The sequence below is a fragment of the Homo sapiens genome, chromosome 5 (assembly GCF_000001405.40).
Source record: "Homo sapiens chromosome 5, GRCh38.p14 Primary Assembly".
NCBI classification, from domain to species: domain Eukaryota; kingdom Metazoa; phylum Chordata; class Mammalia; order Primates; family Hominidae; genus Homo; species Homo sapiens.
The window spans coordinates 32,783,499-32,794,475 of NC_000005.10; the positions used below are offsets into that span (position 1 = coordinate 32,783,499).

At 41.5% G+C, this 10,977-nt stretch overlaps 1 protein-coding gene across 6 annotated transcripts in view; it reads left to right on the forward strand.

The window, feature by feature from the left end:
• NPR3 (natriuretic peptide receptor 3) overlaps positions 1-8,222 on the forward strand; it is a 100,849-nt gene extending 92,627 nt beyond the window's left edge. For 4 of the 6 annotated variants that reach the window (NM_001364458.2, NM_001363652.2, NM_001364460.2 and 1 more), the window contains 2 exons: positions 1,298-1,385; positions 2,736-8,222. In NM_001364458.2, coding sequence (NP_001351387.1) covers positions 1,298-1,385; positions 2,736-2,847 — 200 coding nt within the window. In that variant the 3' untranslated portion in view covers positions 2,848-8,222. The remainder of the gene's footprint in view (positions 1-1,297; positions 1,386-2,735) is intronic. The other 2 variants (NM_001204376.2, NM_000908.4) reach the window with 1 other exon arrangement.

Consider the following 10,977-nt stretch of genomic DNA (forward strand, 5'->3'; position numbering starts at 1 on the left):
GAAGCAATTGGATGTTCTCATAAGTAGCTTACAAATAGGAAAGCTGTTAGAAATAATTGTTTTAGAGAATAAGGTAGTGAGGGAGAACAAAGTGAATATAGGTCCTTCAGGAGGCCAGTTGATCATTTTAGGCTAATATATGTGTGCTTTTGAAAATATCTTTTAAACTGTTAGGTATTTATGTCTATGCAATAATTATGGGAAGGAATTAAGGAGGAAGTGTTTTAAGAACACACTGGGGAGACTGGGCCTGTATTTGACATCCCACTGTTGTTACTTGCTGGTTTTGTGACCCTAGGAGTCTTCCTTCAGCTTTTTAAGCCTCAGTTTTCCAATGTGTGAAGAGAAAGAAATGTGCCCACCTAAGCGTTTTGAGGGCTGTTTTGAGGATTACACAAGATAACACATTGAAGGGCCGCGTACTAAACTCTAGATACAAGTTAGCTATTTATCACTTTTATATAACTGGGATACTACTGAACTTGATTGTTTCAAATTGTTATCCACATTTTCCAAAGCTATGTAGGACATTTTGACATGAAACGCTGGCTTTGGTGAGAGAACATCTAAAAACAGAACATTGACCCAATGAATTTTTCATCAAATCTTCTAGCACTTTGAAGTGTCACCATCCATCTGTGAAAATAAGAAGCCCTGGGTCAGTGCCCTGGTCCATCTGGTTGTCTTCTTTGACTTTATTTATTTATTTTGAGATAGTCTTGCTGTCTCACCCAGACTCATGTGCAGTGGTGTGATCCTGGCTCGTTGCAACCTCCACCTTCCAGGTTCAAGTGATTCTCTTGCCTCAGCCTCCTGAGTAGCTGGGATTACAGGTGCCTGCCACCACACCCAGCTGATTTTTGTATTTTTAGTAGAGATAGGGTTTCACCATGTTGACCAGGCTGGTCTCAAACTCCTGACCTCAGGTGATCCACCCACCTTGGCCTCCCAATTCTTTGACTTTAAACTCAAAAGAGAGTGGCTATATCTGAAATCTTCAGTTCCAGTTTTCCTCTGATTCTTGAATTTTCTTCTGTTCTCACTGTGTCCACTCTCTTAATAGTGTTTTTGTTTATCTGGCACTTTCTCAAGTGGTTCTTAAGCTTTGCACTGGGCAAAAACAAACAAACAAAAACATAAAACAAAAAACAAGTGTAGGGTCCCTTAGAAAATATTTCTGAAAAAGGAAAAGTTGCCTCCAATGGGAAATCGAGGAACTTCTTGCAATGAATGAAACTCGAGGCATTTCTAACTGTATCTCCAAATGAACCCTGATTATCCATGCTTCTTTTTCAAGCAGGTGGCCTAGAAGAATCGGCAGTGACAGGAATTGTCGTGGGGGCTTTACTAGGAGCTGGCTTGCTAATGGCCTTCTACTTTTTCAGGTGAGGACGGTTTGTAAAGGTACAATTCACTCTCTTCTGCTGTCTTTGTCATTTGATTTTACATGATTCTCTTTGTGATTTGTCCACATCCCTCTTTCACCCAGGAAGCACGGTGGTTAAAAAATCTCAGCCATTCTTTTGGCAGGACCCCAGGTTTGGTGTGGTCAGTGGTTTAGCATACTGGGTGCCAGGGTCATGGGTTTTGACTACATCTCACAGTGGGACAGAGAGCTGCTGCTGCCCTTTGATCACAGATTTTTTTTTTTTTTTTTTTTTTTTTTTTGAGACGGAGTCTCAGTCCCCCTGTTACCCAGGCTGGAGTGCAGTGGCACGATCTCTGTTCACTGCAACCTCCACCTCCTGGGTTCAAGCAATTCTGCCTCAGCCTCACGAGGAGCTGGGACTACAGGTGCAGACCACCATGGCTGGCTAATTTTTTGTATGTTTATTAGAGATGGGGTTTCACCATGTTGGCCAGGTTGGTCTTGAACTCCTGACCTCCAGTGATCCATCTACCTCGACCTCCCAAAGTGCTGGGATTACAGGTGTGAGCCACTGTGTCTAGCCCTTTGATCACAGATATTCTGACAAGAATTCCTACCACCCACCAAGTGAAGCAGTGGGGAGGGAATCTGGATAAAGGGGGAAATCAACTTCCCCCTTCTCAGGCTTTCTCCAATTCAGAAATAGATGCCTGGGCTCACCTTAAAGAGGAGGAGGGAGCTTTGCGTAGCCCATGCTCTCAGGCTGATCTGTGCTCAGTATCTGGAGAGCCCACATGCTCATTTGCCACTGTGGTTAAGCTCCAAGGCTTGCAAAATTGTAATAATGTACGTGTGTGCACTGGTACTGATTGTTCTGCCCCGTGAGGGTGGCCCATTCCTTTGTAATCTTTGGTGGTTGAGTTTGTGGTTTATTCATAAGTCATTAGAGCAAGGTTTCTTTATTTCTGCATGGGATTGTAACTAGGCATATGTGACCCTTTGTGGGAACAATTGTATTCCTGTTCCTTTGGCCACAGTACATGTAATTTGATCTTTATCAAGGGCATATCCTGGGAATCAGGGAGAACTTCTGTAGCCTAATAGACAAGACCTAACCCCCAAGGCACCCAGGGAAGAAGGGGAAGGCTTGTTCTGTGGTATTTGGGAAAGCATGCCAATTTTCTCTCTTGAATAAGGGCACCATGCCTGGGGGCACACTACTTTAATCTCTGACCAGGGTTTCATATTCTGTCACTTCTCATTTATCAACTGAAACCCAGATGTCCCTTGAGGGCACTCTTTGTAAGAGAAACCATGGTATTTTGTAGCCAAGTTTTATTACCACATTCACTTTCCCTTTACCCAGGAAGAAATACAGAATAACCATTGAGAGGCGAACCCAGCAAGAAGAAAGTAACCTTGGAAAACATCGGGAATTACGGGAAGATTCCATCAGATCCCATTTTTCAGTAGCTTAAAGGAAGCCCCCCACTTTTTTTTTTTCTGCCTGAGATTCTTTAAGGAGATAGACGGGTTGAAAGACATCAATGAAACAGAAGGGGCGTTCTTGAAGAATTCATAATTTTAAGCAGTTAGTAATTTCATTTTAAAATTTCTGTAGAAGCTCAGGAATTATGATTAATCACCATCTGCCTCCAGGCCTTTCATCTCATGACAAACAAATATAATAATGATATCGTGTCACTCTGTTAAATGTTCATACTGTTTCAAGCCCATATGATTAGATTTATGTTTTTAAAATCTGTTGTCTCCATATCTTGATGGCTTTTGGGAGCATTTCACACAAGGATATAAAATGCGGTTTTCTTAAATGAAATGTTTTGTAGCTAGAATAAAATCATTTTTACAAGTACAGCATTCTTGGAAAGAATTTAACACCCAAAAAGGGGAAAATGTAATGAAAAATCTCAAGGTTGGAAATACAGCCTTACTCTCTCTAGAGCTGGAGGACAGGTTTGTGGTTGAGGACTTCTCTGTCCGATGTCTACATTCAGGTTCTGACTTCATATCTTGAAAAAGGATTTCCTCCCTGTCTTTTTCAGTGTCTCATAAACGCTACTCTGGATTGTTGTAAATATTAGTGAGATGGGAGGATTTACAGAAGAAAAGCAAGTCAAAAATATTTCCTTTTTGATGTAAAAAAAAAAAGCCCTATTTCGCACTAACATTTTATTTTACAAGTATTTTAATCTTATATTTTGGTATTAGAAAAATTTGTCTATTTTTTCATTTTGAAGATTAAATGTTGCTTACATTTTAAAAGCATGGGTGAAGTGTACAACAAACCAATAATGATAAAAAATACTTCTCTTTTTCTCCCTGTTTCCCTTTTTCCCTTGGCCACAGCCAAATGCTAATTGCTGCTTTAATTACAGAGATGTGTAAATGTATTCAGATTACAAACTCTACAGGAATACATCAACATTTTAACTCTTTTGCGTTTTTACTGTTTAACTGTTTTAAATGCAAGTTATTTTAGGGTGACACTCCTTCCAGTTCTGGCCAGATCATGAGTTTCAAGATCAAGAGTAAAAAGTTATTAGAATTAAACAGTTTTATAAAGGGAGGCAGCCCTTTTCCCTCAAGAACAACTTTGTTGAGAGTTACTACTTGACAGCAAGCACAGAAATGACAAATTTAAAACTTTTACACATGGCATTTACCAAAATTCCCAGTGATTATTTTGTTTAAAAGAGGGAACCTAAATATCTACTCTATTCCCTTTCAGTTAACTCCACAGAACTTTGTAGGCATCCATGAATACCTGTAATAGTGGGTTAGGTGTGGAGATAAGGAATTTGGACAAAGTTGAGTAAGTTTTTACTGGGTATCTGCTTTGCACCCAGTAGTCTGCAACATGAGTTTAAACTCAGGTTACTACTTTCACTTATACTTTATGGAGAAGATAGACAGTGAGGGAGGAATGGGAAGCTGTCATGAGAGTGCACCGTCTTGGAATTACATAACTGGGGTCTTTCCTCAATAACATTTTGAGCATCTGAAAAATAGTTTAAAAAATTGTCTTAATATCTATTAAAAGGCATGTCTAGTGAGGAAACAGGAGAGTCTGAGCAATCCCTTGGTGGCGATGAAGGTGGTAGTTCACACAAGTAACAGTGGAGGCAAAGGTAAGCGCAAGCTGCCTGTCCCAGATGCTGGCCCATGTGTGAGTGCTTCCCTGGAGAAGTCCGCTTCTGTTGCTCCCACCTGAGTCACAGTTAACAGATTATTTCTGTGTGAGGCACATTTCCCTTCTGTTGTTTAAGAAATGGGAGCTGGGAGGCAGCTGAGAGGGCGTGATAAAAGAATTAAGTGTGATCAACTGAAACAACTATGTTGTAGTTCTCCATGCTGGATGCAAAGGAAAAAGTGTCGAATTCCAAAAAGGATGGAAGAAGAAGGCAAGAAGGGCAAACTCCAGAAGTTCTAGTGCAGGAAGAGAGTTTGAGAAGTAAAATCCAGGCAAGCAAAGCGTTGTACCACTTGGGACTCCCCAAAGTGAAACAGCAAGGAAGGATTGTGTCCATCTTACTTACTTGAATTGGAGAGCTTGTTTCTCTCTCATTTTTATTTTTCAATGATGTTTTCTTTATATTTTAGAGATATTCATTTTCTCTTATCTTGTGCTTGTAAAAAGCATTTACATTTCAAGTCTATGTGCTTATTACAGGGGAAAAATAATCTACCTGGTTGCAGTCTTTGAGTATAAACATTTCTAACCTTTTTAAAACTTCTATAGCAGCCCATTAACACTAACATTTTTAGAGCAAATATATTCTATTTTAACTTCAGGTAGAGGAATAGTCCTAAACTTAATATGATAGCTCTAGATAAGATCTTAGAGATAAGTGAGCATTTAGTATTCTAAAAGTGGCAGAACAAATCATGAGGTTTCTGGATGCTATACCAATTTAAAATCAATTCTTATGTTAATATTGATTGCTTATTTACATGTCAGTCATCTACTTTTTTTCTTTGAAATCTGCATATGGGTTACAAAAACTCTGTTAGGTTTTGAAAATTCCATTAAGTTGGAAACCTTGGTTAAAAATGTAGGTGCCTGGCCCATGGTTACCCTGGATTCAGGTCTCTCATGATTATATTTGGGGATTTACGTTCCTAACTGCTAAGCAACATCTTTGACAACTAGTAATTCATACTCTACTAGTAGTCACATGTCATATAGTAAAATAAATAGGGCTTTAGTTCTTAAGTAATTCTATAGGATTTTACCCTGAAATCCAGGGTGTTCAGATTTCAAAAAGGATAATTTATCAGTATTTTCTCATCCAGTCAAACTTCAGCTGACATTGATACAGGTCAAAATGCGTAGATGCTTTTTGGTGTTGGAAATAAGTGTCTGTCTTATGGTCATCATTGTCTTCTTAGATTTTTGGGTAGGGGGGCCAGGTAGGGGGAGACTCAGAAATAAAAGCGTTCCCCAGATAACTTCAATCTGGAAAGAATTTTTTGTATAGAGTCCATCTCTCCCTCAAGACTGACCACAGGTTTCATGAGAAGGTCCCTGAAAACATCACATTTCTCTGAAGAACCATCAACTTGTCTTTTCTTGAACCACAGGAATGGTTCTACAGACCCTACTATAATTCTTCACATTTCAGAACCCATGTTTAATGGAGGGAAGAGAGAAATGCATGGGAAAAGAACACCTCCTTTTCTCCTTTCTCTTAAATTCAAAGACGTTTGCTTTGGAATGCCCTCACTTCTCCCTATTCACAGGCTTCTAAAATCATTAATTTACTCAAGGCACATGTGCCTTCTTTGCCCCAAATGCATCACTTTCCTTTTAGTTATGGCTGATTTTGGGTGTGTGTGTGTAAGACATGCAGTCAACAATGAGATGAAGGCCATTGCATAGATCTCATGCAGATAGTGATGGATTCAGAAAGTAGGTTCCAGTGGCGTCACTACCTTCTTGTAAGCCAGTATACACTGGCTATTTGTGGAAATCTCTTTGGGAGATCAAATAGAGTATTATGCCACTGTGAGTGTTTATAAACTGGAAGGAACAAGTACCTGTGTTTCTTGGGACACAAAGCACTCAGATCCTGAGTGGATGCAGACATGAGAGTAAATGTCAGCCCAAATTAGGCCCCTCGACCTACAGACATTTCATGGGTTTTATTTAATCACACCCCATGGTTTGGGGCTACATGAGGAAGTTGGTAATGAGCTGAATTTCTTATTCAGTGGAAAAAACTGAAACTGTCTAAAAACACGGGATATATTTTAGAGGCAATTGTGGAAGCGGAGAGAATGAGATGATGGTGTTCAGAGGGACCAGCTTCTTTTTCAGTTGTCTTTAGAACTCAAGAATAATCAATAATTTAGTGCCCCTTCAACAGCCATACTCAGCAAGAAGAATCAGAAGCTTGATCCTCTAACAGAAATAGAAGAGGGTAGCTTTGCCCATTGCCACTGTCTTTACTGCCCCTTCTGCCCCTCCACCCACATCCACATTCAGCATCACTCCAAGGATGTGTCAGCATCTTGCCCATGCAGGTAGAAATTTGTGAGTAGGCCTCCATACTTCCTCGGGGGAAGAAAGAGAAACTAGTGCTGGTTTTAAGAATGTAGCTGGCTTTTCATCAGAACCCTTATGCTAACCTGACCACACTTGCTCTCGGGGAAGTTCAAGCCTGTGATGTGCATAAACTCCAACAAGCCTGGCTTTGGTGTTCAGCATGCACATTCCATAAATATCTCTTGCAGGCATACCCCACAGCTAGACTGCAGGATTAAAATAACTTCCAAAAGGTGCTGGATTGGAGTTTGTTCAAATTTCTCATTAACCACTAATGTTAATTCATACCAAATGCAAAGTATTCTAAACCAGCTGATGCTGTCAGTGTTCAAGTTTTAAGTGACTTCAAACACAATGGAAGTGTTTCAATGGGAGCCAGATCTCATGAGTAAAAATCCATTTTATAATAGCTCTGTGATATATCAGTGGGAGATGATTCATAGGGGAGAGATTTGAACAAGCAGAATTAAGTGTTAGCAAAAATGCTGCATTGCTTTGATTCATGTTTAAAGACCTAAATTTCTATGCACAAGGAATAAAGGGCCTACTTACCAAGTGTAAATCACAACATAGGCTACCAAAATATTTCTTATTTGCTAGGAGAACAAAGCTGTCACGGTGCATGATAGTTGGACAGAGATGGCTAAAAAAGAGGCAAATTCAGATTTGGAAACAGGGTGGCCTCTTCATTATTTATTGCCAAGATCTGAAAATCTTCAACATCTTATAAGACAACAATGAAGTAGCCCCTGAACAGCATGGAGTTGCTGTGAGTTTGTTCGTTGCAGACCTTTGTGTTGGGTCCTGGGAATCTGAGCTTTGTTCCCTGTGCATGGTGGATAATTGAAACCAAGAGGACATGGGATAGACCTTGTGACAGACCAATTCTGTGACCCCTGTCTTCTGGGTCACATTATTCATTGTTGATTTAAATACAGGACTACCAAACAGTACAAATCTATCATGAGTCTGGTAGAAAAGTAAAAGTAAAAGCTGCACACGTTACATACTGTTTATTGTTCTAATGTACAACTAACTATTTGCATATAATGTGATTTAATTTATTGCTGTTTTGTGTAGAAAAGGAGAACTAATGACTGTGGATATAACCCATGTTTTGTATAATATATTTTATTTCTTGTGCGAACTGGTCATTTAAAATATCTACTTCATTTGATGTTTGGATATAAATGTGTATGTGTCCTTGTAAATGTTTCTATCAAGCAAGAATGCCACGTACTCAGAGTATAACAATGTGTTCTCATTAAAAAATACATCCCACGGAAACCTCTTCCTGTTTATAATTCAACCAGCATGCACTGCACATATCCATATTCTTTGAGGGCTTTTGTTCTCCTGGGACTTGTTTAAGTCAAAGAGCAATAGGTGGGTCCGATGAATTGTAATATTTGAATGATACCCATGAAAAAACCCAAGAATTTCTGCCTAGCAAAGGCAAATCGACAGAATTTTAAAATGAGGGGCAAACCTTGAATCAGCTGGTAAGGGAAAGAATCTTCATGAAGAATAACCGTCATCTTGAGTCACTACAGCTCGAGAGCACTTCATGGTTGACTTCATCGACTCATGTTATTAAGTCCTTTGCCACTTTAAAGAGGTCCTAAGTCAATTTTGTCACTTTAAAGACCTCCCCATGTTCCAGCATACTAAGCAGATTAACCAGTCTCCAGCATCTCCAGTTGCCTCTGGGTTGTAGAAAGCTGCTTCACCATCTGGGAAGTTACTAATGATTTATTTTAAGCCCAAGAAACATATAGCAATTCGCATGGTTGGAGCAATGTTCCCCTGATCCTGCTGCTGCTGCCACCACCAATGAGGTCCCCAGGTGACACCACAAATACCACTCAAACTCCCCATGTTTGAGGAGATTCTGCTGACTCGGGGTGGGGTGGGGTAGGGCATGGGGGCATGGCAGGAATGAAGGGTAGAGACAGAAAAGTTCTGGAAAACAAGATTTCCCACTGTGACTTTTCCATCTCCGTTTTGGGAAACATGGCCTCCTTGAATCTTTCCACCATATTCCTACCTCCCCAGTCCCCTCTGAATTTCATTTCATGCATACCCAACATCCCATGATGGGCTAAAGATGCCTCATGACTGGCTCTTGGGGCTGTGCCCACTGAAGAGGCCCTAGGGAGCTCCAAACACCATTGATTTAGAGCTCTGCCCTAATCCTAAATCAGGGGCATCTGGCATTGACTTAAATAGCAACTACTATAGTGGGAGATACCAATGGCCATGTGTCTTTAAAAAAAAAATACTTTTTTTTTTTTTTAGATGGAGTCTAGCTCTGTCGCCCAGACTGGAGTGCAACGGCGCGATCTCGGCTCACTGCAACTCTGCCTCCTGGGTTCAAGTGATTCTCCTGCCTCAGTCCCCTGAGTAGCTGGGATTACAGGTGTGTGCCACCACGCCTGGCTAATTTTTGTATTTTTAGTAGAGATGGGGTTTCGCTATGTTGGTCAGGCTGGTCTTAAACTCCTGACATCAGGTGATACACCCGTCTTGGCCTCCCAAAGTGCTGAGATTATAGGCATGAGCCACCACGCCTGGCCAAAAAATAGCACTTTTATAAACCATCCATTAGCATCAAACTAGAGTCAAGAAAAAAATTCCCTTTGCAGGCCTGTGCAACCCTGATGATCATTAGCTGCTGAAGTTCTTGAGGAGTGGAGAGGAGGAGGAAGATGAGCAGGGCATGATGGGCTATGTGGTTTGTATTAATCCGTCATGCCATTTTCTCACATGCTGCCCCTTCTGTCATTTCCATTTCATAGATGGCGACTCTCTGGAGCCAGACTCCCGGAGTTTCATAGCCTGGCTCCGATCCTTGTGTGAAAATGAGGATAATACCAATTCCAACCTCATGGGGCTACTGTGAGAACTTTACGCTTAGGATTCTGCCTGGCAGGTAGTGAAAGATTCAGTGGAATTACTATTATACTCTCCTGTCTCCTTGGATAAGGAGACAAACCTCTCAGTTGGTAATTTTTGAGGCCTTTAAGGCAAAAGGAATTTCTACTGTTGAAAGCCGGGCAGCCCACATTTCTTTCTTTTCAATTTGGCTTGATGACAAGTTGCCTCGACCTCTTGGAGGATGAGATGAAAGGCAAGAGGTCCCTTTTCTGTACACCGCCCCTCTCTAAAGGGTCCCGATAAGGGCCGAGAAAGGGACAGTGATAGCCACATTGCCTCTGAAGCTTTCAGAGGGCCTGCGCAGCTTTACTCAAATCTGGGTTCCCTCCTTAGAGTGTAGGCGCCAATCCTGGAGCAGTAGGCCATACATGCTGTACCTGCCTTCCACCCCCTGCTTTCTCCCCTGGCTGAGATGGGTCTGGGGACTGCTCTTTGGAGTTCATCACCTCACTGCTGTGATTGGTCAGAGCAGTTCCTGCCATGACATAGAGGACTCGTGTGTCCTAAAGAAGAGCCTCCCACCTCGGTGCCCTCAGCCCCAGGTCTTTCCCGATAATGCTGGCATTTTGTCCTAAATGCAAGAGTAGCACCTCATTAAGGGTGTTGGTGGGCAGGGGATTTCCTAGTGTAGACAAAGGAGGTTTTTATTCCACTGCTACTCCAATGGCTCAAGAGAGACCAGGCATCACACAGGCTGGCAGAGAATGCTGCATTAAAGTGACCTTTATGGACTAGAGGACATGAGGTTCCTGGTACCCACAAGATCCTCCTACTCCCAGTGCTAGCAGCTACAGAGACCAGAATAGAGATGACATCCGCTCTTCTGGAAGGGCCTCTGACAGTTCAGTTCAGAATGAGGATGGAATAAAGCAGATCTGGGAGGCTTACTCTAGGCTGTGTCACCCCCTCCATCCCTTGCACAGTGATCCCTGCTAGGCTCCCTCTGGTGGTGCATAGACTGGTTCTGTGGAATGCTTGAGAAGGACTAGCAGTGCATGAAGAGATAGGTGTTCCCCCAGTGGGAACCTCTTGGTGATATCAAAGATACACTTTCAGGCAAACATCCAGCAAGAGGCTGACTCTCAGTAGAATTTGCCACCTGTCA